Genomic DNA, 26836 nt, shown 5'->3' with positions numbered 1-26836 from the left:
TTGTCTGCTTGATCTATCAATTATGCATTGATGATGGATTTGTCTATTTTTCCTTTGTAGCTTAATCCACTTTTGTTTTATATATTTTGAGACTGTTATTAGTTACATTCAAATTTAGAACTGTTATATTTTTCCAATGAATGGAGCCTTTTATCATTATTGGACTATTTTTATCTCTGCAATACTTTTTTACATAAAAGTCTATTTTATCTGATAATAGTATAACCACACTAGCTTTCTTTTGCTTAATGTTTCCATGGCAATCTGAAAAAGTCCTTTGATTTTCAGCTTTTCTGTGTCTCATATATATATATATTTTTTTTTCTCTTTTTTTCGAGACGGAGTCTCGCTCTGTCGCCCAGGCTGGAGTGCAGTGGTGCAATCTCGGCTCACTGCAAGCTCTGCCTCCTGGGTTCACGCCATTCTCCTGCCTCAGCCTCCTGAGTAGCTGGGACTACAGGCACCTGCCACCACACCTGGCTAATTTTTGTATTTTTAGTAGAGACGGGGTTTCACCATGTTAGCCAGGATGGTCTCGATCTCCTGACCTCATGATCCGCTTGCCTCAGCCTCCCAAAGTGCTGGGATTACAGGCATGAGCTACCGCGCCCGGCCTCTGTGTCTTATATTTTAAGGTATATCTCTTGTAAATAGCATGTAGCTGCATAACTGATTTTTTTCCTAACAACATGATTTATGTTATTTTATTTTGTTGTTGTGTTATGTTATGTTATGTTATGTTATGTTATGTTATGTTATGTTATGTTATGTTATGTTACGTTACGCTATTTTATTTGAGACAGAGTCTCGCTCTGTTGCCCAGGCTGGAGTGCAGCCGTGGTGCAATCTCGGCTCACTACAGCCTCTGCATCCTGGGTTCAAGTGATTCTCATGCCTTAGTCTCCTGAGTAGCTGGGACTACAGGCGGACACCACCACACCCAGCTAATTTTTGTATTTTCATTAGAGATGGGGTTTTGCTATGTTAGCCAGGCTGGTTTTGAACTCCTGGCCTCAGGTGATGTTCCCGCCTCGGCCTCCCAAAGTGCTGGGATTACAGGTATGAGCCACCATGCCCAGTCCCTGACAACATGATTTTTAGTTATACAGTTTTGTTCATTTGAATTGATTGTGATTTGTTTAAACTCATTTCTGTTTTCTCACATACTGGGGTGGTTTTTTTGTTTTCTGGTAATTCTTATTTTCCTTTTTCTTACAACAATAAATTATTTCTCTTCCCCCAGCATCTTTTTTTTTTTTTGAGGAAAACATTTTTAAGAGAGGAAAAATTTAGAAAATGTATAATGATAGCCATATGTCTACTGCCCAAACTAAACAGATATTAAGATTTTTGCTATATTGTTTCATAATTGCTGTTGTCATACTTAATAAAATATGTGAGGCCAGGCGCAGTGGCTCATGCCTGTAATCCCAATACTTTGGGAGGCCAAGGCGGGTAGATCACCTGAGGTCGGGAGTTTGAGACCAGCCTGGCCAACATGGTGAAACCCTGTCTCTACTGAAAATATAAAAATTAGCTGGGCGTGGTGGCAGGCACCTGTAGTCCCAGCTACTCAGGAGGGTGAGGCAGGAGAATCCCTTGAACCCGGGAGGTGGAGGTTGCAGTGAGCCGAGATCACGCCGTAGCACTCCAGCCAGGGCAACGAGCGAAACTCTGTTTCAAAAAAAAAAAAAAAAAAAAAAAAAGCCAGGTGCAGTGGCTCACGCCTATAATCCCAGCACTTTGGGAGGCCAAGGTGGGTGATTCACGAGGTCAAGAGATGGAGACCATCCTGGCCAACATGGTGAAACCCCGTCTCTACTAAAAATACAAAAATTAACTGGGTGTGGTGGTGCGCACCTGCAGTCCCAGCTACTTGGGAGGCTGAGGCAGGAGAATTGCTTGAACCTGGAGGCAGAGGTTGCAGTGAGCCGAGATCGTGCCACTGCACTCTACCTTGGCGACACAGCAAGACTCTGTCTCAAACAAAGGAAAGCAGATAAAGTTGAAGTTTTTTTAACCCAAATTTGGCGTTTTTTTAAAGTCTTTTTTTACTTGTTTATTTCTTTTCATTTTGCATATGAATGCCAGGTTATATGAAGTTTCTTAGGTTCCAATTATATTTTCCTCTCTGGTTCCCAGGAGGCTAATACTATCATAACTTTAGTATATGTCCTTCTAATCTATGTTTTATGAAACTTACAGATGTGTGTGTGTGTGTGTGTGTGTGTGTGTGTGTGTGTGTGTGTGTAAATAATAGTATTATTTGGTATAATCTCAGAACACATAAGTATTTTCATATAATAGGCTTGTTTAGCAATTTTCTATTATAACTAACCTCATATTTTTTAGATCTAGCCATGTTGACATTTATAGATACAATATATTCATTTAACCTGGCAAATAGTATACCATATGTCAATATACCACAATTTATTTGTTCCTCTATTGAAGGATTTTTTCTTGATATTCCAAACAATGGTGCAATGAATCTTCCTCCATTTGTATCTTCTGCAACTTGTCTCCAGGATACATACCTAGAAATGGTGTTACTAGGTCTGAGGTCAGAGGATGCACCCGTAATACCTTTTTAACACTTACATCCTTCTTAGTTAATTAAAGACCAAAGCAAAATTATAAACCTGTGTATCATAGTATGGTTTTGCGGGAGGGATCTTTAAGTGTAAGCTAATAGCTGCCCTCTGTTGTTTACATCCCTAAGTTTATATCACTTTGCCTTCTCTCCAGCGGCAGTACATACCTGTGAAAATGAAGAGCAAAGCCTTCTGGATCTTTTCTTGGGAGTATGCCATGATGTATGTGGGAAGCCTAGTGGTAATCATTTGCCTCTCCTTCTTCCTTCTCAGCTCTTGGGATTTCATCCCCGCAGTCTATGGCTTTATGTAAGTAATGACCACGTTAGAAAATTCTAGAAGCTGTGGGGAAAAGGGAACCCTTGTATACTGTTGTCAAGAATGTAAATTAGTACAGCCATTATGGAAAACTGTATGAACATTCCTCAAACAACTAAAAATAGAATTACCATTTGATCCAGCAATCCCACTTCCGGCTACTTACTTAAAGGATTTTTTTCTTTTTTTTTTGAGACAGGGTGTCGCTCTGTTGCCCAGTCTGGAGTGCAGTGGGGCCATCTCCGCTCACTGCACCCTCCACCTCCTGGTTTCAAGTGATTCCCCTGCCTCAGCCCCCCGAGTAGCTGGGACTACAGGCATGCACCACCACGCCCGGCTAATTTTTGTATTTTTAGTAGAGACAGGGTTTCACCATGTTAGCCAGGCTGGTCTCAATGATCCATCTGCCTTGGCCTCCCAAAGTGCTGGGATTGCAGGTGACTCAAAATTTTTGAAATCAGTTTGTTGAAGATTTGTCTGCACTCCCATGTTCATTGCAGCATTATTCATAATAGCCAAGTTATGGAATCAATCTAAATGTCCATCAACAAACAAATGGATAAAGAAAATTTGGTATATATACACAGGGGAATACTATTCAGTCTTAAAAAAGGAAATTCTGTCATTTATGACAGTAGTAGGGATGGAATTGGAGAATCTGATGCTAAGTGGAATGAGCTAGGCACAGAAAGACAAATACCGCATGTGTTCTCACTTATATGTGGACTCTAAAACAATTACGCTCATAGAAGCAGAGAGTAGAAGGGTGGTTACCGATGCCGGCAGGGTGGGAGAATGGGGAGATAATGGTCAAAGGGGTACAAAATCTCAGGAGGAATATGTTTTTTTCTTTTCTTTTCTTGAGTACTAGCACAGTGTGGTGAATATAGTTAATAATAGAGTATTGTATATACCAAAATTGCTAAGAGAGTAAATTTCAATCGTTCCCACCACAAACAATGTTTAATATTTGAAGTGATGGAAATGTTAACTAGCTAGATTTAATTATTCTACATAGTATTCAGAAATCATAACATCACATAAAATCACCCATAAATTCGTACAACTATATGTTGTCAGTTAAAACCCCCCCGACAAAACTCTGGAAGCTAATTTGGTTTTCATAGCTCTAGCTGGACTCAGAGGGTGAGGGACCACAGGAAGCCTTTATATTAAATAGCAGCGGTTCTCAAACCTTAAGGTGCATCAGAATCACCTGCAGGACTTATTAAAACCCAGATTGCTGGGCCCACCCTCAGAGGTTCTGATTAAGTAGGTCTTGGGGAGGGATCAACAATTTGCATTTCTCCGGTTTCCAGGTGATGCCAGTGCTGTTGGCCTGCTGGTTTAGGGAACACACTTTGAGAACCTGTACTCTGAAACACACCTTTGATATGGTGGGATTAACCCATTTATGCCTAGTGTTCTATTATTGGAACACGAAGCTTGTGGGAGTTATTTACGTCCTACTGCTCAAGGTCATCGCCAAGGTCTGATTTTTCACACAAAAAAATTTGCAACCTCCAGCATAAGTGGGTTAAAGAGCACTCCCTGGGAACATCCAAAGCAAATACCAGCCTCTAACTGGGAGGTTTGGGCTCAATTCTAAACAGGAATGGATGTGTTCCTCTAGTGCAAGAGGGCCTCTGACAGTTTGAAAATAATGCCACCTGCCACACGTCAAACCTTGAGGGAAAACTCAAATGGACTTGAGTATTGCAGGCTTGTCTGAGTTTATATTCATGAATTCTATAAACATTTCCGAATGCCCTCTGCGTGCCAGGCTCTGCATAGGTGCCGAAGACTCGGTTGCTCCCTAAGCTTTGGGGAGCTCACAGCCCAATAGGTGACAGACTCTTAAACCTGTGCATGTGTGGAAGGGATCTGAGTGGCAGAACTCCCATTTGGAATTCTGGACTGCTTATTTGTGTTAAATCCTGGCTGAGCATAACAATGACTTGCTAACTTCAGCTCTTCATGCTCTGCCTTAGATAGGAGTTGCGGTGCCAGGTGAAGAGTTCTTTCTCCTGGGCCACGGATTGTGTTCTTTACCTCATTTCCCAGAAAAGGAGGTATAGTTACAGCAAGAGGCAAAAGTTAACCTGGGCGGAGGCCTCAGTCAGGGAAATCTGACCAAGAGCCATCACTCATCTCTCCCTCTGCGTGCCCTATTTGTTGTCCTTTTTGAATTGTGTATTGAGATCAGTTTCAACTTCATATTTTTTTAAATCAAAAATGTAAACTTTAGGAGAGCCAGAATTGCAGCGAAATATTTGTCTGATTTAATTGGACAAAAAGTTTTCCAGTTAAACCCTAATTTCTCAATTAAGACTGGGACCCTGGGGATCTTAGCCAGAACCCACCGATTGTTCCTAAAGCCCCTAGAAGTCTCACTTCGGTCTCAGGCACTCGGTTTTCTGACTCCTGCTGTGGGGTGTGGAGTAAGAATGGGGAGGAGCAGGATCTTTGAGCGTGGTCCTCTAGGCAGGTCTTTAGAATGCCCAAAATAGATCCTGTGTTTTAAAACTCATTTGTTACAGTACTGGGTATCTCCTGATTTTAAACTGTCTTGCGCAGTAAAACAGGGGTGAGTCTCTTTATTCCTAGGATGAATCCCTGCCTCATTTCAGATTTGTTTGGCTTAGCTAATATTTGTTATGGGTTATCATTATATGTCTCTGCTCATTTTTGTTAATTACCTGTATCCAGGGTACCTAGAGAGCCCTTCCCATCCTGATCTCTCTAGGGAGAAAGTCGTCCTTGGCTGCCCAGCAGTGACCAAAGTCTTCAGGAGAAATCAAGGTCAAAGCAGACAATTTATAACTTTTGTCTTTTTTCTCTCCCTTTGTTTTCTTAATTCCAGACTTTCTGTTCCAGATCTCACTCCAAACATTGGTCTTTTCTGGTACTTCTTTGCAGAGATGTTTGAGCACTTCAGCCTCTTCTTTGTATGTGTGTTTCAGATCAACGTCTTCTTCTACACCATCCCCTTAGCCATAAAGCTAAAGTAAGTGGCTGGACCTGCTGCTGCTGTGTGTACAGAGCTGTCCGAGAAGCCCCTGCCTCTAGTAGCCTTGAGGGTGGCCTTCAAATGTGGAGCACCTGCTGTCAGGTTTAGAGCATCTCACCTAAGGAACCTGCCTTCAGTTGCCGCAGTTGCCAGCGCCATAGCAGGCAATAGAGTCGCATGGGTGCAGGCTGCAGTGAGGGTGCTTTGGAGCCCCAGCATTTTCCCTGGCCTCACTCTGAGGTGCTCAAGTCCACATTGCTGCTGAGCCCATTCACTGTTTTGGACTAGAGCCAGGCGGTGGCCAGGCATGGTGGCTCACACCTGTAATCCCAGTACTTCAGGAGGCTGAGGCAGGAGGGTCACTTGAGGCCAGGAGTTTGAGACCAGCCTGGACAACATAGCAAGATCCTGTATCTACAAAAAATTTAAAAATTAGCCAGGTGGCTGCCTGGGTGCAGTGGCTCACGCATATAATCCCAGCACTTTGGGAGGCCAAGGCGAGTGGATCACCTGAGGTCAGGAGTTGGAGATCAGCCTGACCAATATGGTGAAACCCTGTCTCTACTAAAAATACAAAAATTTGCCAGGTATAGTGGCGGGTGCCTATAGTCCCAGCTACTCTGGAAGCTCAGACAGGAGAATTGCTTGAACCCAGGAGGCAGAGGTCACAGTGAGCCAACATTGTGCCACTGCACTCCAGCCTGGGCGACAGAGCAAGACTCCATCTCAACAAAAACAACAACAACAACAACAAAAATTAGCCAGGTGTGGTGGTGTGCCCCTGTAGTCCCAGCTGCTTGGGAGGCTGAGGCAGGAGGATGACTTGAGCCCGGGAGTTTGAGGCTTCAGCGAGCTGCTTGTGCCACTGCACTTCTGCCTGGATGACAGGCGGAAGTGCATGTCTCAAAAAAAAAAAAAAAAAAAAAAAAGAACAGGAGTTGTGGAGGGGAGTGTGTTTGGAAAAAGTGTATCTGGTGGAATGTCTCCATCAACAGCCCAGTGACAGGTCCTCCACAGGGACTCTGGATGGTTTAGTTGGGAGGCTGGCCACCTGCAACTGTTTAATCTCCTGATCTGTTTCCCTCCAAAGGATGTGTGGAGTCCTCTTCTGCAGTCTAAGAGAGCTGATAGATGTTAGGCCTGCTCCATTCCAGGTGCCTTTCTAGACCCTCTGAAACATAATCATACCTAACCTAGCAACTCCTGGAGGTAGGCGTTAGATTCTTATCACTCCCATTTTATAGTTGAGGAAATCGATGCTCAGAGAGGTGGGATGATTTTCCCAGTCACACAGCTAGTAAGCAGTGGAGCTGGGATTTAGACTCAGGTTTGTCTGGCTCCAGAATCTATGCTTATCCCCCTGCACCATGCCAAGCTCCGGAGAGATTGCTTTTAGTAGCCTCCGGAAATGGTTCTATTATCCTAGCTTCAGATAAGGGAAAACAGACACAGACAGGTACAGATACGCCTAGATGGTCTGGGGAACCTGAAAGAGTTTGATTTAGGTTTCAAGAGCTCAAGTTCTCTGTCCTAACCTTCCTGCCATTCTCCATGGTCTGTGCACCAATGCACGTGGTTCCCATTCTGTAAAATCTCAAAAGCTGATGCTTCCTTCCCATGACACAGCCTTGGCCTGGCTTCTGACAGAACACCCTCCTTCCATGGCCTGGCAGGCTCCGGAACTCTGGCAGCCTTGCCCAGCTGAGCTCTCCAGCTGTCTGTGGTCCACCTTCCCTGTCCTTGTTCCGGTTAGGCCCAGCCATGGGGTGAAGAGGAGCAGGGATCCCAGGGCACCTTTCCGCACTGGCCGTGCAGCCAGCTCTCCGGCAGCTTTTATTGTCTGCATGCAAAGCCACACATTGCTCCTGGCTAGGCAATAATGTCACCATTTTATGACCTAAGCCAGGCCCACACAGTTGTGGGGACAGAAAATATGAAGAGACCTGCTCTCCCTGCTGTCTTCTCTTCTGCCTGGGTATGAAGCTCTACCTAAGCTCTCCTGCCCCCTGCAAGATTTGTTTCCAGTGCCAGCTTTGTAGGAACAGGGCCCTTCAGGCCACCCCAGTCCCTGTGCAGTGCTGCAGGAGGCTGTAGTCTGTTTTTTTGTCACCGCATTTTCACCAGCCTTTTCATAGAAATGTTGCCGTTGTTACCAGCTACCTGAAAAGCCTGAAGCCAGTGATGTGGATTGTGTTTAGGAAGATGTTCACACTGAGCTATAGCTGGACGCTTCTTAGAGGCTACAGGGCTGCACGCCTTTGCCAAGCTGCGTTTCTGAGGCACTTGCTGCACAGCAGCACTGGAGCATTCTGGGTGTGGACATGTTTGTCTGCACATCTCAGATTCATACCCATTGAGTCACCCTGACCTTTGACCTGCAAGACAAAAAGGTCATTAATCTCTGAAGAAAACCTTCATGGGCTAGGCATCTAGGTACTGTGCAGAAGTAGGCCATGTGCATGTGGTTGAAATGTAGCTGAGGAGGGTATAGATCCAGCCTCTCCCTGTTGGCTTCCCTTTAGCACTTGGTCAGCTCTCGGAGGGGCACCGAGATTGAGCTCTGTCCCCCAACTCTCTCCTGACCAGAGCTTGGAAGTGTGATCAGCACTCAGGAGAATGGTATTGGGCGTGATTAAGAGCTCTGGAGACAACTCCATCGCTTACTAACCTACTCAGTCAGTGCACTTCTCTGAATCTGTTTCCTCATCTGTGAAGTACAGGTGAGAGGATTGCCTACTTTTTTTTTTTCTTTTTGAGACAAGGTCTCACACTGTGTCATCCAGGCTGGAGTGCAGTGGTTGATCATGGCTCACTGCAGCCTCAACCTCCTGGCACCAGCAACCCTCCCACCTCAGCCTCCTGAATAGCTGAGATTACAGCCATATGCCACCACACCCGGCTAATTTTTAAATTTTTTGTAGAGATGAGATTTCACTATGTTGCCTAGGCTGGTCTCAAACTCCTGGGCTCAAGCCATCCTCCTGCCTCAGCCTCCCGAAGTGCTAGGATTACAGATGTGAGCCACTGCGCCTGGCCCAGGATTGCCTGCCTTGAGGGGTGGTTGAGATGTGGTGAGGATCACGTGAGAGGATGCAGGAAAAGGACTTTACACAGAGGGAGTTCAGGAGAGGATACCCATTGCTATCACTTATTATTAGGTTAAAATAATAATTGAAACTGCTATTAGTTTAAGTTAACAAGAATAGTCCCAGCCCTTAAGAACTGAAAAGCTCTGTGCAGTTCACAGTTCTCTTCCTGGAAAGAAGTTCATCGCACTATGGGTCTGTAGACCCTGCTGACCATGTTGTTAGAGAAAAAAGGCATCAGCAAGGAGGCACTTCCTGCCTTGCGTCCAATTGTCAGAGGGGCCTCTGGCAAGGGAGGCTGCCTAATTATCCTGCCAAGCAGTCATTTAAGCCCAGTCATAAAGAATGCTGACTTCATTTGTTTTCTTCCTCTGTGGCTCCTAGGGGAAGGCCCAGAGCTGGCAGAGGCAGAGGGGGACTGTTGATGGGAAATGTCTCTGTGGGCTGTTTCCCTAGTGTTTGCCAGGCCCTCCTCACCACCTCTGGGTATTTCTGGGTCCCTGCAGTTTTCTGCTCTGCTACTGGGGCCTGGCCCATGCCTTGTGGATAGCAGAGCCAGCCCCTTCCTGAAGTCCCCTGAGGATTATTTTTGGTTCAAAGGATGGAGTCAGGAGTCTCTAGGGTAGGCCTGGTCCCTGACTCATCTCTCTCTCTCTTTCCCCTGCCCTGCCCCAGGGAGCACCCCATCTTCTTCATGTTTATCCAGATCGCTGTCATCGCCATCTTTAAGTCCTACCCGACAGTGGGGGACGTGGCGCTCTACATGGCCTTCTTCCCCGTGTGGAACCATCTCTACAGATGTGAGTACTCCCGCCTCTGCCACAGATTTGTGTCAGCCTGGGCCTGGATGAGACTGCTGCAGGGAAAAGGAATTCATAGGCATTTACCAGGCACCTGTTATGCTGGCAGCACTAGGAGGGGAGCAGAGGCATGAAGCACAATATCTGCTTCCAGGTGCCGCGGACTTGTGATGATAAAAATAATTGCCATTTATTGAGCACTTACTGTGTACCTGGCCACTGTGGCTCTCACAGTGTTACATGCATTAATTAGCTCATTTGATCTTCACACCAGCCTTTGAGGTAAGTATCCACGTTTTGCAGATGAGAAAACTGAGGTACAGAAAGGTAGAGCCACTCATTCAAAGTCACGTGACTTCTAATTAGAAGAGCCGGGATTGGAATCCAGATCTGTGAACCCCTACCCAGTGCTGTCCAGCAGGGCTTTATGATGATGAAAAAGTCCTCTGTCTGCACAGTTCAATAGGGTAACTAGCCACTTGTGTGCCTGAGAACCTGAATTTTTAATTTAAATTTCAGAAGCCACATGTAGCTAGGCTACCATACTAGACAGCAGAACTCTATGCCCTGGGCTTTGAACCATTCCCCAGCGCTGCACCCAAAGGTTACTAGAAGGCAGAGGGGCAAAGTTAGACTTCCCTGCCCACTGTGACAACCCCTCTAAGCTCTAACCATCCCCTCTTCAGAGGTGGCTTAGTGGTGACCTATCTGTGCTGCCTAGGCCCCCAGTGCTCTTAGCCCTCTATGGTGGGTTCTTTTCATTGTTTGGGGGCTCCGTCAGGGTAGATATCACAACTCATTCACCTTTGTGTCCCCAGCACTCAGGACTGAAGCTGACACATAGAAGACCTTGCAAACATTTGTGGAGCGGGTTTTTAAACCTCCCCAATAAAGAGGCAGTGTCAGTGGCCCAGCACCACCTGATTCTCTAAACGAGGCATGGAAGGGAGCTGTTGAACTTTCCTTGCCTGCTGTGGGTGTCCAGCAAGGTGTCAAGAATGAACTAGGGAGTGCAGGCTTCAGAGGAAGTGAATCTTTGTTGTTGTTTTGGGTGTCAACCAGGAAGTGAAACTGACTAGCTGTGGGAAGCAGCCTACCTATAGGAGTGTGCCTCTGAGTGAAGGTAAACAGTGGTGTGGGCAGCTGAGCCAGGGCTACGCCTGCAGGTGATGGCCTAGTGGGGCTGTGACCCATCTGGCCTGACTGGGAGGAGGAAGCAGTGTCTTCTGTGGTGACATCCTCTCTGCACAGACAAGAGTCACCCAGTCCAGCAGGTTGAGAGTCAGCTTGGGGCCCCTCGGCAGAGTGGCCAGTGACAAACCATGAGACCACCAAAACATGGACATGCCTCAGTTTGTGATAGTGGATTTCAAGAATGTAGAATGGATTTTTGTGGTTGCCCATCCCACACTGGGCACTCTTTCTCTCTCAGTGACTGTCTTTCATCCCATTTGCTGAGCAGTCTGGAGAGTCACTTGACTCCGATTCCTGGCATTGCCATTACGAGCCCCATGTGTTCTTAGGCACATCATTTAACCTTTCTGAGCATCTGATTTTTCCATTAATCAAATAAAGAAAATAACTCATGAGTGTGTTAAGTTTGAGAAAGAATATCTGTAAATAGCACTGCAGTTAGTATCGTGAGTAATAATTATGCAGGGGAGTCTCTCACATAGTTCCGTGATCAGAGCTTCGGGCTTGGTAGCCAGAGTCATCAGAATAAACATATTTTTCAAGACGAATAAACTATTTTATGCCCTCTGGGGTGAGGAGGCACAAAGAAGAAGGATGGGGTTTCCAGAAACCTGAATGATCTAATAGTTGCTTTTGCTGGCTGGCAGGGCACATAGTCTGCAGGTTCAGGTTGTCTGAAGATCCTGCAGAGAACAGTAGCTGTCCACCTTTGCTTCACTGCTCCTGCAGCAGGGAGTACACGTGCTTGGAGAACCTGCTTGGGGCTTGACAACTGTGAATCATTATTAGCTGGGAGCAGCATCAGCCCTGGTCCTTAGGACCTATGAGTGGGATGTATGTGTTGAGACGTGTTTAAGCCTACGTTGAATATATTTAATGTGGCTAGGAATTCCATTTAAACATTAGCTGTCAGCGCTAACATGCATGCTCCCACATTCACCTTTCTGTTTTCCTGTGCAGTGGAGAGGAGAAAAGGAACGTGGCCCCTCCCTGAGTGTAGGTCCCAGACGCTGGACTCTCTGGAGCTTGGATGAGTCATACAGACGCACAATTGTGGTGTTAGGGAACAGCCTGCTGGCAGAACCCATGCCAGCCTGCATGGTACAGCAGAAGGAGCCAGTTACCAAAGGGCTGGATTTGTGTGTGTGTTTGTTTTGTTTTTATTACTATTGTATAGCGATAAAAGAATGTTGATAGATATACATATAAAGAATCATGATAAAATATATTCCCACGTGTTTTGGCACCTCGTTTAAGAAAGGGAATATCACCATGGCCTTTGAAGTCCCCAAATCCCCCCTGTTCCCCTTCTGATTGGACTGGATTTTTCAGGTGAGATTTTCTTTCCGAATGCCTGAGGCTCTGAAGGGAAAGTGGCTTGCCTGAAGTTCCAGTTCATCAATCATGGTGCCAGAGATTGGATAAGCCACCCAGTGAATGTGGTGGGGAACCTGATTCCATCTGGCCTCGCAAGTCTGATGAAGGGTGAAGCCTTTCACCTTGTTAGGCCCTGGTCACCTCTGACGCTTTCTGATGCCTGGAACAAGCTGTCCCGTACCCCAGGTCTCCAGCTCCATCTGCTCTGGCATATATAGCTTTAATCTTCTGGCCTGTCAGCCAGCAAGAGTGAATAGCAGCTCCCCATTCCTGCAGAGGTCACCACAGGCCAGAAGCCAACTGCATGCTGGTGATGGTTCTCTAGCCGCATGGGAATGTATCTTTGCAGCCCTTCGAGATAGCACCCAGAGGCTGCCAGTGAGCTTCTCTCGTCTCTTTGCACTTGGTTTCCTTCCTGTCACCCTGTCTGAAATCTGTGTCCCTGGCTGGAGGCACAGAACAAGAACCACCTGGTCTGGCAGGCTGCAAACATTTTATTTTGGGAATAGTCTGTATTCTTTTCAGCAAAATAATTTCCAGGGGATCAGAAAGAACCACTGAGAAATGTACATAGTGATGTTGGGTTAGAGGAGTGGGAAGCATTTGTTCTCCTTCTTGAGGTAGTAACATGGTTTAATAATAATAGTAATTCTCAGTGAAAACGTCCCTTTGCAAGACTCCTTGTTCCTGGGAGGTCTCAGGAGGCTTGAGTCAGGGTTTTGGCCTCTCATCTTTGAAAACCCAGAATTGAGAAACTTCAGATTAGAAAAGAGGATCTTGCAAGCCCTCCAGGCCAGTGTCCAAATTGTGGGATTTCTTAGACCACTAATGTTTCAATAAACTCGGGTGACAGATTGCCAGCTTTTTATTTTGCTGAAGACATTAAAACAATCAACTACCAGCCATTCTTCCCCATGTTATAAAATGAAGGACTTTTTAATGACAACAACAAAATGATACCTATCATTTCTCAATAAAGAATGAACTGTAACTTGAAAACATTCAGCTTTACAAAGAACTGTGAACTACCGTGTCCTGATTATTCTCCTTTTGACACAGTTGGGTGGCATCTCTGTTGCAGACTGTAAGGGGCTGCAGCTGTAATCCAGTGGTTCGCAGCCTCGACTGCATATTGGAATTACCTGGGAAGCTTTTAAAACCTCATATGGATGCCTGAACCCCACCCTAGAGACTTTGACTAGTCTGAGGGCTCTCCGTGTGATTTCATTTTGTTTTGTTTGTTTGTTTGTTTGTTTGTTTTGAGACAGAGTCTTGCTCTGTTGCTCAGGCTGGAGTGCAGTGGTGCAATCTCGGCTCACTGCAACCTCTGCCTCTCCACTTCCAGCAATTCTCGTGCCTCAGCCTCCTGAGTAGCTGGGATTATAGGCACCCGCCACCATGCCTGGCTAATTTTTGTATTTTTAGTAGAGACGGGTTTTTGCCACGTTGGCCAGGCTGGTTTCGAACTCTTGACCTCAGGTGATCTACCTGCCTCAGCCTCCCAAAGTGCTGGGATTACAGGCGTGAGCCACCATACCCGGCCGTGATTTTGTTTTGTAGCGGGAGTTGAGAATCATCTGTATCATCTAGGCCCCTTGCAATGCATGAGCCCCCAGTATAGCATCTCTACTAAGTTGTACAACTAATATAAATGGCCTAAATGTTTGGGAGTTTCTCCACCCTTTAAGTCTCTCAAAACTGTCACTTGGGAGAAGGGATTTCCTGAAGGTCAGTATCAGAGAAGAGAAGGGAACTTCCATTCATTAAGTGTCTGCTGGGAACCAGGCACAGTGCTAAGTTCTTTTTAAAAAGGTATTCTTTTAATTATTTTAAATGATATTTATTAGTTTTTAAAAATATGATAAAGATAAAGAAAAGTAACAGACAATCCTCCTGTGTGATAACCCCTAGAGAGTTAAAACGGGGGAAAAAGTACAGTGTGGTAGGCAGGGTAGTAGCCCTCCCCTCACAAAGATGTCCACGTTGTAATCCCCAGAACCTGTGAAGACATCGCCTTACATGGCAAAGGGACTTTAAGACCTTGGGAGGGGAGATTATCCTGGACAATCCAGGTGGCCCCAGTGTAATCACAAGTGTCCCTCAAAGTGGAAGAGGTGGAGGTGGGGGGAATATGGGAAATCTTCTGCCCAATTTTGCTGTGAAACTAAAACTTCCCTAAAAAATAAAGTCCACTGGGCTTCTTTGTGCATGCCTGTAGTTCCAGCTACTCAGGAGGCTGAGACAGGAGGATCCCTGGAGCCCAGGAATTCGAGGCTTCAGTGAGATATGATCCAGCCACTCCACTCCAGCTTGGGCAATGTAGTGAGATTCCATCTCAAAATAAATAGTCTATTTTAAAAAAAAGATGGAAGAGGGAGGCAGAAGAGAAGGTCTGAGTGATGCAATGTGAGAAGGCCTCAATCCACCATTGCTGGATTTGCAGCTGGAAGGGGGTCATGAACCAAGGAATGCAGGGGGCCTCTGGGTGCTGGAAAAGGCAAGCAAGGGGTTCTCCTCTAGAGATTTTAGCCTGTGAGACCCATTTTGGAACTTCTGACCTCCAGAACTGTTTAATAATAAAGAATATTATTTAAATCACTAAGTTTGTGGGAATTTGCTATAGTAGCAATGGAAAACTAATGTAGCCAGTGATATATCTGTGTCATTTTTTCACATGTCATCTTGTTTACCAAATGAAGTGTGCATTTTAGCCCCATTTTATTTTTATTTTTAAACATTTTTTATTTTTAAATTTTAAAATTTTTTTAGAGATGGGCTCTCACTATGTTGCCCAGGCTGGTCTTGAACTCCTGGGCTCAAGCAATCTTCCTACCTCAGCCTCCCAAAGTGCTGGGATTACAGGCATGATCCACCATGCCCACCCTAATTTTTAATTTTTATAAGTACATACTAGGTGTGTAGCCTCAGTTTACAGATGAGGAAGCTGAGGTCTAGAGAAACTTGCTAATAAATGCAGAGCAGGATTTTAACCAAGGTCTGTACCCGGCTGCCATGCTACACTCCTGTTTGGCTGAAGCCAGCCAGCCTGTCTGCCTCTGGATCACCCTTGAGTAGCAGGTCCTTCCTGAGACCTCAGGGAGAGCTTTCTTCCTGGTGGGATTCGGCATTCCCTTAGAGGCAAGGAGTGAGAGACGGTGTCAAAAAGAGGTCCTTTATCATCTAAGGGAGAGTTGGGAATGTTTGAAGAGCGAGGCAGGGGTCCTAAGACACCAGTTAAGGAGAATGGAAAACGTGTTCCTAAGACCCAGGACTGTGGCACCATGGAGACCCACAGTGGGGCTCTAATCGTCACGGTTCATGCTGGGGTTCCCACCCATAATCCCACATGGCCAGATGGCACCCTGCTTGGGGAGAGGGATACTCTTGGACCCTCCAAGATTAGGAGGTGAGGGGAATATCTTCCTGAAATGCCCTGTTTGGTGCCCCGAGGCACTCATGGCATTTCTAACTATAGCTGGTCTTCAGCCAGCCAAGCCCACAGTGGGAGGAAATAATCGAAATCCAGGAGCTACCACCAGCTGTGGGCATGGGGAGCCATTGACTGAGGAGTCTGGGGTTTGCTTCTTGGCACCCCAGTACCTCTGGGGGTGCTCTGCCTTTGAGCTACATGATGCTCACCTTGGGCCTCTCCATTCAGGGGGGCCATTGCAGCAGGGAAAGCATGCCAGAGAGAGCGTGTCAGGCTAACTGTAACCCTCTGTCTTTGCAGTCCTGAGAAACATCTTTGTCCTCACCTGCATCATCATCGTCTGTTCCCTGCTCTTCCCTGTCCTGTGGCACCTCTGGATTTATGCAGGAAGTGCCAACTCTAATTTCTTTTATGCCATCACACTGACCTTCAACGTTGGGCAGGTAAGAGGGACAGCATGGGGGTCAGCTTGGGGACAGGAATTCATTTTGCAGCCTCAAGCATTCAACGATGGCCTTGGATTCTGCATACCGGGGGGTGCAGACGTGAAGGAGGCACAGTTACTCCCCTCAAGTAGCTCCCAGTCAGTGAGGACGGGGAAGTAAGAGCAGTGTAAGGCTGAACCTGGCAGATATGTATTGGGCACCACACTGAACCATAGCCATGCTGTATTCTCAGCAAGCCTAGGAGACAGGGCATGTTAGCCCTACTTTACAAATGAGGGACAGAGGCTTGCAGAGGTCCTCTCTTCTCGAAGGTCATTGGAGGAGCCAAGAACAAAATTCACATAAGGCTTGATTTCTGAGGCACCCCTTTCTGTAATGGTGCCTGTGGTTCCAGCACCCATAGGGAGTAGATAGAGTGAGGGGGAGAGGGCAAGGCAAGGGGAGGAGAGGCTCTGCGGACTCTCGGGACAGCAGGAACAAAGGCAGGCAGAGGAGAAGGGGGCCGGTCTGGCTGTTGGGGAGTTGAGCATAAATTGTGTGGCTGGGAGCGGTGGAGAGGAGGCTGTGGTCACAGGCTGAGGAGTACCAGCAAGGAGCTCAGCCTTCCCCTGAGCTGGGAAGCCTGTCCCTCTGTTCCACAGAGCAGGATTCTCAATCAAAATCCTCAGAGGGAGCTTGTTAAAAATGCAGATTCCCTGTTAACAGGCTTTAAACTCTGCAATTATGTTGCAGCCGTCCCAAGTACATGGCTCTGTTTTAAAAAGCCAGGTTCTCTGATCCCACTCCCAGAAATGTTGATTCAATGTGGAATACAGGGTCAGGAATTTATATTTTTAATAAGCTCTTCCAGAGGTTCTGTGGCAGTGGGTCTAGCAAACTCTAGGTGGACTCACCCACGCTTCTTGGAAGTTCCCTCCTCCACGTGCTGCCTTCTCTCAGGTCAGGCTCTGGCCTCGTAGTGGAAGTCTTTTGAGAATCACTTGTACCATTTACCATTTCAATTGCCATTGGCACAGCCAGGCATTTCCTATGTGTAATAGCCTGGATGGGAAGCAGGCTGGCTGGAAAGACTAATGATGCCAGTGAATAATCCCCAGGGTAATTCTTGCCTCCAAGGTTAGCTGCGGGAAAAGAAAGGAGTTAGGGCTTTTTCAGTGAGTGATGGGACTGGTGTTTCCTGCATGGACATTTCTGGAGGATTAATGTTCAGCCCAGCCAGTTGTCTTGGTTTGTGAGCAGAAGAAAGAGAGATAGAGGGCCTTGTAGCCTGGGTGGGGCCCAGCCGGAGGGCCTGTTCTGTCTCTCACACTGTAGTTAGGGTTGGTGGATGCGCAGCCTCTCTTACTTCTGACCCACGCAGGCAGAATTCTGCAGGGCTCAATTGCATATCCTGAAGGAATCCAGAAGGTTGCCCTGGCTCTCCTGCCTTTCTGGGATCTCCTTCCTTTTCCTTACCTTCCAGTGGTAGCTGGCATGGGTGGGCATTGGGCCTGCCCTGGGCCTCTAGGGAGGTTGGCAAGCTCCACAGAAATAGTCCACAGCCTGTTGTCTTGTCATGAGTCTTAGTCTTAAGTTTGGGTCTGGAAATACAGTTGCAGTGATTATGAAGCATCCATGGAACTTGCCAGATAACAGCTTTCTTCTCTGTGGCTGCCTTTCTGAGAGAAGGGACTCTAAAGCAGCACAGGGGGTTGTCTGCAAGTGGTCAGGTGCCATTGAAGGCAGGAGAAACTGAATTATTGGAAAGAGGGATTGGGGTTAGGGATGGAAACCAAAGGCAGGTGGATCAAGTGTGTTCATAGCTGAGAGAAACCAGCTGGACTCTTGGCATGATCTCTTACCTTTTTTTTTCTTAATCTCTTTTTAAAATGTATTTTAAATCATCAAGTAATACATGAATTCATTATTGCTGGGGGAAAGAAGTCAAACAAAATAGAAGAATATGGAATGGGCTGAGTGTGGTGGCTCATGCATGTGATCCCAGCTCTTTGAGAGACCAAGGTAGAAGGATTACTTGAGGCTAGGAGTTCAAGAACAGCCTGGGCAACATAGCAAAAGCCCATCTCTACCAAAAAATAAAAAATAAAAAGACTATGCAATGAAAAGAAAAGATCTGCCTGAGCCCCCATCATTTTCTACTCCTCTGCAGACGTGGCCTTTGGGATCAGTTTGGTATGTGTCTTTGCAGACTTTCTTCTGTGCATTTATAGACAGCTATAGACACAGGTACATAAAGAGGGTTTTTTGTTTGTTTGTTTATGTAGGTAAATGGCATTCTCCTTTAAGTAGCATTCTTTGGCTTGCTGTTTTTCACTTAATGATTTTGTCTTGAGATAATTTTTTAATACCTCTGTAACATCCAGTGGTTTGGACTAGGTACAGCCCTGCTGATGGGCATTGAGGTTGCCCTTGGTTATTTTGGCACTTTATTTATATATTTATTTTTTGAGATAGAGTCTCACTCTGTCACCCAGGATAGAGCGCAATGGCGTGATCTTGGCTCACTGCAACCTCCACCTCCTGGGTTCAAGCAATTCTCTCACCTCAGCCTCCTGAGTAGCCAGGATTATAGGCGTGCACTACCATGCCCGCCTAATTTTTGTATTTTTGGTAGAGAGTAGAGACAGGGTTTCACCACATTAGCTAGGCTGGTCTTGAACTCCTGACCTCAAGTGATTTGCCCGCCTCGACCTCCCAAAGTGCTGCGATTACAGGTGTGAGCCACTGCGCCCAGCCTATTTTGTCACTTTAAATGTAAGAGCCTTGCAGCCGGGCCTGGTGGCTCATGCCTGTAATCCCAGCACTTTGGGAGGCTGAGATGGGAGGATCACTTGAGGTCAGGAGTTTGAGACCAGGCTGGTCAATAGCAATAAATAATAAAAATAATAATTAGTAAATAAAAAAGTAATAATAAATAGTAAATAAATAAAATGGAAGAGCCTTGCATATCCCTCCACATATTCTTGTACACACATGCTGGAGTTTTATAGAGTAGATTCCACGTGGTGGGATTTGCTGGGTCAGGGGGCATATGCATTTTACGCCTTTGGCAGGTATTTCCAAGCTGCCCTTCAGGCAGGCCACACCAACCTACAGGCCTCCCAGCAGGGGGTCCAAGTACTTCCTGGGGCTGCTGGCTTTCGACTTTGTTGCTGCTGCTGCCAGGTCACTAACAGGGTGCATCAGATGGGGCCACTTGCTCACTGAGGCAGTCACTCGAGGCATGTCCTTGTCCCAGAGCGCTGACTGAGGTAAGAGAGCCCCTCTTCATGAAAGTTATGCCACCCTTGCCTTTGGACCTGTTGGGAGCCTCAGAGTGCAAAATGAGACATTTCAAGTTTTACTAAGAGTGAAGTGTCACCTCCTCATAGAGACCTTTCATGAGGTCCCCTTGTCCCACTGTCTTTTTCTCAGCCTTGCATGTCCTGCGCAGCCCAAACCCAGCCCCTGCTTCTGTGTCTTCCATCGAGACGTACGGGATTTGGGGACATGTTCTCAGTTCCATATCCTGCTGTGAGCTAGGAAGGTGCCTGGTATTCACCTGCCTCATTTTCTCCTCCTTGGGCAAGACAAAGCAGAGCTCTCTTAGGAACCAGATGAGTACAGATTTCAAGGAAGTATCTAGAACCTTGATATCATTGCTGAAATCAAGAGCTGAATATAGAGAACATCTTGGCTTATAGATTTTTTTTTAAATCCTGCTCTGTTTGAGTTGTTCAGTGCCATACCCTATTACAGAACAAATTATGTGTGGATTATTAGTTATACCGGCAGGTAAACCAGTGACTAAGGCCCCATCCTTTACCCTGGGAGCTATTATTTTTCTGCCTGTGGCATGGTTCATTTGCTAATTATGGTTGTTCCTCAGAGTCAGTAACAGGAAATGACAACAGTAAACCATCCATGGTGGGGGGTGCGCCTGAGTGTGAGAGAACGAAGGAGGGATTGAGACCAGTGGATTTCTTGAGGGCCTCCCCCACTTCCTCAAGTGATTTAACTTCTCTAGGTTGCAGTTTCCTTATCTCAAAAACCGGGATGATGACCCACAGCTTCCAGGGTGTTGAGAGGATTGGACATAACTTGTGGGTCCTGTTGCCATTACTCATGTGTGTTGACATGGGAAACAGCAAGAGCAACATGCTCTTCAAATACCCAGAGCAGATTCCTGGAGAGACAGTCCATGAACCAAAGGAAGCAGTTTTTTTTTAACCCTTTTATTTTGTGAGTCAGTGACCAGCAGGTGGAAAATATTAATCAAGGATTACATATAAACAAAAAGGAACTTGTTTAAATTTAGCTTTTTTAAAAGAGTAGGGCAAAGTGTCACACTCACCTTCATTCTGTTTAAAAACAGAGAACATAAGAAAATCTTCTCCTAAAATTAAAATTAATAGTGGCTTATGCGGCCGGGCGCGGTGGCTCACACCTGTAATTCCAGCACTTTGGGATCATGAGGTCAGGAGATCAAGACCATCCTGGCTAACACGGTGAAACCCCGTCTCTACTAAAAATACAAAAATTATCTGGATGTGGTGGCACGCGCCTGTAGTCCCAGCTATTCGGGAGGCTGAGGTAGAAGAATTGCTCGAACCCTGAAGGTGGAGGCTGCAGTGAGCCAAGATCGTGCCACTGCACTCCAGCCTGGGCGACAGAGCGAGACTGTGTCTCAAAAAAAAATAAAAATAAATAACAGTGGCTCATGTTTCAGGAGAGCTTACTAGGGGCTGGCCCCACGTGATCCCTATAATCTTCTGATCACGTGCTCAGATGGCCTTCCGAACCATTCTGTGTGCATTTACATAAACTCATAGGCTCATGGAGAGAGAGGCTTATTTGTATGTGGGTATGTGTGTTTTATTATTGACATAATGATGAAAGTAGGACTTTTTTCCCTTTTAGTAAAATGTCTGGGTGAACTTTCCTTGCTCATATGTGAGAGAGGAACCTCCTTTTTATTTGAGTCCTGCATATGTGAACTCACCACACTTTATGTAACTACTCTACTGACAGCCCTTTACATTGTTTTCCTTTTTTTCTTTAGTTATAAGGAATTTACTCCTCATAACAGCCCTTTGAAGGAAGTACTATTATTAACTCATGATACAAATGAGGAAACTGAGGCTTGGAAGGGTTAGAGACTTACCCAAACTCACTAAGCTGTGAAGGGGTGTATTTATCCACAGTCTTGTTTGTCACATCCTCTTAGTAGACTGTGGGTTCCATTAGGGCGAGCCCTGGGTCTGTCTTCTTCATGGCTGTATCCCCAGCACCAAGAAGAATATTCAGTGACTACTTATTGATGACAAATTGAATGAGCTGGCATCAGAAACCACATTTTATGACCAATGCTCTAACACATTTCTGTACACCCTGACCTCCCCGTGCCAATCCCTGTTTTGGTCTGATTTGGGCCTCTGGCTAGTCTACTGGATTACTAGGGGGTCAGAGCCAGAGCCCCCTTACCCTTGTATCCCAGTAGCTGGCCTGAGAGCCCCACTCCTGCCCTGTGTCTACATCTAAAGCAGACTTCTCGTCTGCCTGCCCTTCCTTTTTTAAATTTTATTTTAGTAGGCCGGTTGCAGTAGCTCGTGCCTGTAATCCCAACACTTTGGGAGGCTGAGGCGGGCAGATCGCTTGAGCTTAGGAGTTCGAGAACAGCCTGGGCAACATGGCAAAACCCCATCTCTACAAAAAAATACAAAACTAACCGGGTGCAGTGGCAAGCTACCTGTAATCCCAGCTACTCAGGAGGCTGAGGCAGGAGAATCGCTTAAGCCCGGTAGGCGAAGGTTGCAGTGAGCCGAGATCACGCCACTACACTCCATCCTGGGTGACAGGAGTGAAAATGCTATCTCAAAAAAATTTTTTTTAATTTTATTTCATTTTTTTTTCTTTTTGAGACAGGGTCTTGCTCTGTTGCCCAGGCTGGGGTGCAGTGGCACAGTCACAGCTCACTGCAGCCTCAACCTCTTAGGCTCAAGAGGTCCTCCCACCTCAGCCTCCCAAGTAGCTAGAACTACAGGCACACCCCCACACCTGGCTACTTTTTAAATTTTTGGTAGAGACAGGGTCTTGCTATGTTGTTACGAGCTCGAACTCCTGAGCTCAAGCCAAACTCCTGCCTCAGCCTCCCAAAGTGCTGGGATTACAGGTGTCAGCTGCCGCACCTGGCCAACCACCCACCCTTCCAAGCAGGATCTGGATCATCTGGAACCCTACTCCTCAAGCCACTGCCTATTTGCCATGAGGGGCCAGCCCTGACCCCTCCCTGTACTGCAGACCCTCAGATACTGGGCTGGCCTTGCATTGGCCATTCTCCTTTCTGTTTTGAGTGAGGCCTGAAGCCCGAGGTCTGACACCAACCTCCTGCATGCTGCCTGTCCCCTGCCTGGGACTCACTGTTCACTGCAACACAGGTGAAACCACAATCCTGTCTCCCGGAGTTGCCTCTCAGTTGGCCTGGTGTGTCATTCTGGGAAATGGGACCTATGAGGAAATGCTTGGAGACGTGTTGGGTGGGTCATTAGTGGCTGAGTGGTGTGTAGCCCCCATTTGGGGTTGGCTCGAGACCCATTTCAGGTTTCTTCCTGCCGGTTGTGTGTGGCCTGGGCTGTGCAAGATCCCAGGTCTGTGTGTGGGAAGGCTCGTTGCTCCCGATATGCGGTGCCTGTGGCCAACCTGGAGCCCTTGTCCTCATCCTGCTGGATGTGCGTGTTTACTTTGCTTTTCCCAACTAGTGTAATTCTGTCAAGGTCTTAGTTCATTCCTTTGTCCTTCCAGCACTGAGCATCCCAAGCTTGTCCCTCACAGGCCCTTCCCAGCCTATTCTCCTCCCCAACAACCAGAGTGACAGGAAGAGCCCAGGCTACATACAGCAGGACAAAGGCCACAGAAGGCCAGGGCTCTGGAAGCCCAAACTCTATAGCGACTCCAGCCCTGTCTGTCCTGGCTCGCTGGCCTCAGGCACATCCCGTAACTCCTGGGAAGCTAATTTATTTATTTGCAAATGTTAATTAGGTTCCTACTATTCACCAGGCACTCTGCGAGGGGTGAATGAGACAGAGGTGTACTTCCAAGGAGCCCTCGGTCTGTGGAGAGAAAGGAAAAGACATGGGCAGGACAGGGCAGCCTGACGAGCTGGGAGCCCAGAGCTGGGCTGTTAAGGAGGCTTCCTGGGGAAGGTGGCCTCTAAGTGGGGTCCTGAGGGATGGGTAGGATCTAACTGGGTTCTATGATTTTAGGTAGCAAGACCTGGGTGGGGGTGAAGGAGGGAGAGAGAGAGAGAGAGAGAGAGAGAGGAGGAAGGAGGGAGCAAAGGAGGAACACCGTGCTGCTGGGAGCTCAGTGGGACTGGCTGTACCACTTGAGAGGGAATGAGGGCAATTCAGACAGCAGTGGTCAGACCACAGGCCTTCAAGGGCCTCTTATGCAGAGGTCCAGACTGCACCTTTGGCTTTAAGAGCTGAGGATAAATGTGATCAGATCCATGCTCTGAAAACCTCACTGCTGGGAAGAGCAGAGGTAAGAGGTGTGAGCCTGGCATCCAGGGCACCAGGGACGAGGCTAGGGGAGGTTGAAATCTGGGGGAGGTGGTGGTGGCCTCAGTTTCCTCAAACTGGGAAGGTGGTTTTGAGGACTGAATGTGGGAAAAGTGCCATGTAAGTGAAAAGTGCCATGTAAGGGACAGTTACTTGTAGCCTCATCCTCAGTCTCACCTTGTGACCTCTCAGACCCTGACACTGAGGTCCAGAGATTTCACTTGTTACTTTGCATCTTCAGAGCTGGAGGGTGGAGTTTTCTCCTCCACCATTTCCTCCTACATAATGTCCGCTCCGGCCTGTGGGTTGCCAGGTTACGCCAAAGTGCTGTCCAGCTCCACAGTCGGCCGCCAGCCTCCTCTGCCTCCCAGCTTCCTGGATCCCAGGCAGGTGGGCAGAGGCTGCTGCACTTTGCCAACTGTGACGGCCACATGCATTCCCCCCAGCGTGGGCTGACTGTCAAATGTCAGTGTCTGTGTCCCCAACAGCAGCAGGAGGCCTGGGGAACCAGGACATGCCTGGGTGATAGCACCTGCTTCTCTAGGAATCTGCAGCCCTGGTGGTGGACAAGGCTGCTGTCCTGAGCCCAGTAGTTTCAAGACACACTGTATTAACAACCTCTACTGGCTTTTTACAAAAAAAGTCAATCTCTCTCTCTCTCCACTGAGTGACAGAGCTGTGAACTGGGGAGAGCAGACTCCGCAGGGTGTAAAGGTACCTGAGGTGTCAGCACAGGCCTGGCATGTAGCAGGACTCAGTTCATGTGGGTGCAGACCCTAGGGGGTTGTGGAAGAACTCAGGATTGGGCCTCTGACAGGCAGGACTGGCCCCTAACTCTTCACTTCCTACCATGTGACCTTTTGCAGGGCCCATAACCCCTGAGCTTCCCTTCTCTAAGTAGGCATTGTCAGCCCTACCCTGGGGGGTTGGAAAGGGACAATATTGTTTTTTTGTTAAAGGGCCTGGACCAGGGCAGACACTCAGAAGATATTCATTTCCCTGTCTCTCCATCCTGCCCTGCACTAGAGCATGTTCTGAGGGTTTCGTTCTACTTCTGATTCATCCTGTCTGTCCCTGGTCACCCCTTTATCAGCTAGCTGCCCCATGAGCTCTTCATCATGGTCCCAGAGGGAGGCGGCCCTGGAGCCCTCATGGCTGCCATAGAGAGGAATGTGGACCGAGCCGTCCCTGGGGGCAGCGCTGAGAGGGTACAGACCAGCAAACAACTCAGAGAGAGCTGGCCCTGTGCCGGGCCTGGGGCCATAGAACTGGAGCAAATGCAGCCCCATTTGGTTGGGAGGCCAGTGGGCAGTGACTTCACTTCAGGGTCCATGTAACAATGCAGGGTTAGAGAAGACTCCTGGCAGGAGATGAGCCTCTGAGGGATAGGTGGGAGCTGCAGCGCTGCTGGGCAGGGCAGGGGGAGCCAGGGAACTTCTGAGCAGGCAAGCGTGCGTGTATGTGTGTGTATCTGTGTGTGTGTGAGTGCAGTGCGAGCATGTGAGCAGTGAGAGCGTGCGTGTATGTGTGTGCATCTGTGTGTGTGAGCATGTGTGTCTAAGCATTGCAAGCTTGCATGTATGTGTGCACCTGTGTGCGTGTATGTGTACCTGTGAGTGCAATGTGAGCGTGTCTGAGCAGTGCGAGCATGTGTGTGTGCAAGCATGTGTGTCTAAGCATTGCAAGCATGCGTGTATGTGTGCACCTGTGTGTGTGCACCTGTGTGTGAGTGCAGTGCGAGCCTGTGTGAGCAGTGCAAGCGTGCATGTATGTGTGTGCACCTGTGTGTGCATGTGTGAGCAGTGTGAGTGTGCGTGTGTGTGCACCTGTGTGTGTGTGTGTGTGTGTGTGTGTCCAGAGAGGTGGCTGCAGGAAGAGAAGAGGGCAAGTCTGAGAAGGGGATTGGCAAGGCAGTATTTCAGCCACATTGGGTGGGATCCAGAGACCTGAGGACACAGAGTGACATGTTCTGGGGTCCTAACTGGCACAAAGACTAGAGGAGCCCGGCCGGGCGCGGTGGCTCATGCCTGTAATACCAGCACTGGGAGGCTGAGGTGGGCGGATCATGAGGTCTGGAGATCGAGACCATCCTGGCTATCATGGTGAAACCCCGTCTCTACTAAAAATACAAAAAAAGAAAAAACTAGCCAGGGGTGGTGGCGCACGCTTGTAGTCCCAGCTTTCTCGGGAGGCTGAGGCGGGAGAATCACTTGAACCGCGGAGGTTGCAGTGAGCTGAGATCACACCATTGCACTCCAGCCTGGGTGACAGAGCGAGACTTCGTCTCAAAAAAAAACTAGAGGAGCCCAGCATTGTTGGTAACAAGCTAGAGCCTATTACTGTCATTTTCCAGATGAGGAAAATGCAGCCCAGGGGACAGGAAGAGACTTAATATCACACAGCCGCTGACTCGCCCATGCAAATTCCACAGCCCCTTGCCCAACTCGCCCCTGTCCAGACTGGGCAAAGGGGCTCTGGGTCTGCAGCTGCTGTGTTGGCTGCACCCTAGGGCCTCTGGGAAATCCCTGCTCTCCTCACGGCCCAAATGGAAAGCCCCAAGGTCAGAAGAGGTTGTCCTGGCTACAGGCTTCCCTCTGAAAGGGCCAGGCCTCTCGGCCAGCCTGGTGTCCTCTCCCTGGGGGCAGGGTGCTCACTCAGGACTGATGACACCCAGGGCTGTGTGCCCAAGCCGCTCACAGGGCTCTTCCCGCCACCCCCTTTATCCTCCAGATTTCCACACACACAGCAGAGTTGACAGCTTTAGCATTGGACACCCATATACATACCCACCAGCGGGAGTCCACCATTCACATCTTCAGGTACTTCTTCCATCATCCCTCAGTCCATCTTACTTTTTTAGTGTATTTCAAATTGAAATGCAGACATCAGTACATTTCCTGCTAAATATTTCAGCATGTGTATCATTTTCTTATGTAAAATTTATTATACAGGGAAAAGTGCAAATCTTTTGTGTACATTTGCCAAAGCTCTCTTTCACTCAGCAAAATATTTTGAGTTTGTTACATACAACAATAGGTCATTG

General features: G+C 47.5%; 1 protein-coding gene across 3 annotated transcripts in view, besides 3 other annotated features; it reads left to right on the top strand.

The window, feature by feature from the left end:
- Nucleotides 1-26836, top strand: part of PIGU (phosphatidylinositol glycan anchor biosynthesis class U) — a 116551-nt gene that overhangs the window by 85737 nt on the left and 3978 nt on the right. For 2 of the 3 annotated variants that reach the window (NM_080476.5, XM_011528542.2), the window contains 4 exons: nucleotides 2749-2903; nucleotides 5776-5919; nucleotides 9684-9808; nucleotides 16110-16252. In NM_080476.5, coding sequence (NP_536724.1) covers nucleotides 2749-2903; nucleotides 5776-5919; nucleotides 9684-9808; nucleotides 16110-16252 — 567 coding nt within the window. The remainder of the gene's footprint in view (nucleotides 1-2748; nucleotides 2904-5775; nucleotides 5920-9683; nucleotides 9809-16109; nucleotides 16253-26836) is intronic. The other variant, XM_017027664.2, reaches the window with a different exon arrangement.
- Nucleotides 7160-7659: an enhancer, noted in NCBI's record as "H3K4me1 hESC enhancer chr20:33171501-33172000 (GRCh37/hg19 assembly coordinates)". NCBI's record gives its function as "activates a minimal SCP1, AML or CMV promoter by ChIP-STARR-seq in naive H9 embryonic stem cells {active_cell/tissue: H9 hESC(naive)}" and the evidence as "EXISTENCE:reporter gene assay evidence [ECO:0000049][PMID:30033119]".
- Nucleotides 7660-8161: an enhancer, noted in NCBI's record as "H3K4me1 hESC enhancer chr20:33170999-33171500 (GRCh37/hg19 assembly coordinates)". NCBI's record gives its function as "activates a minimal SCP1, AML or CMV promoter by ChIP-STARR-seq in naive H9 embryonic stem cells {active_cell/tissue: H9 hESC(naive)}" and the evidence as "EXISTENCE:reporter gene assay evidence [ECO:0000049][PMID:30033119]".
- Nucleotides 25398-25899: an enhancer, noted in NCBI's record as "H3K4me1 hESC enhancer chr20:33153261-33153762 (GRCh37/hg19 assembly coordinates)". NCBI's record gives its function as "activates a minimal SCP1, AML or CMV promoter by ChIP-STARR-seq in primed H9 embryonic stem cells {active_cell/tissue: H9 hESC(primed)}" and the evidence as "EXISTENCE:reporter gene assay evidence [ECO:0000049][PMID:30033119]".

This window comes from Homo sapiens, chromosome 20 (assembly GCF_000001405.40).
Source record: "Homo sapiens chromosome 20, GRCh38.p14 Primary Assembly".
Lineage (NCBI taxonomy): Eukaryota > Metazoa > Chordata > Mammalia > Primates > Hominidae > Homo > Homo sapiens.
This window is presented reverse-complemented; position numbering and strand designations above follow the sequence as displayed.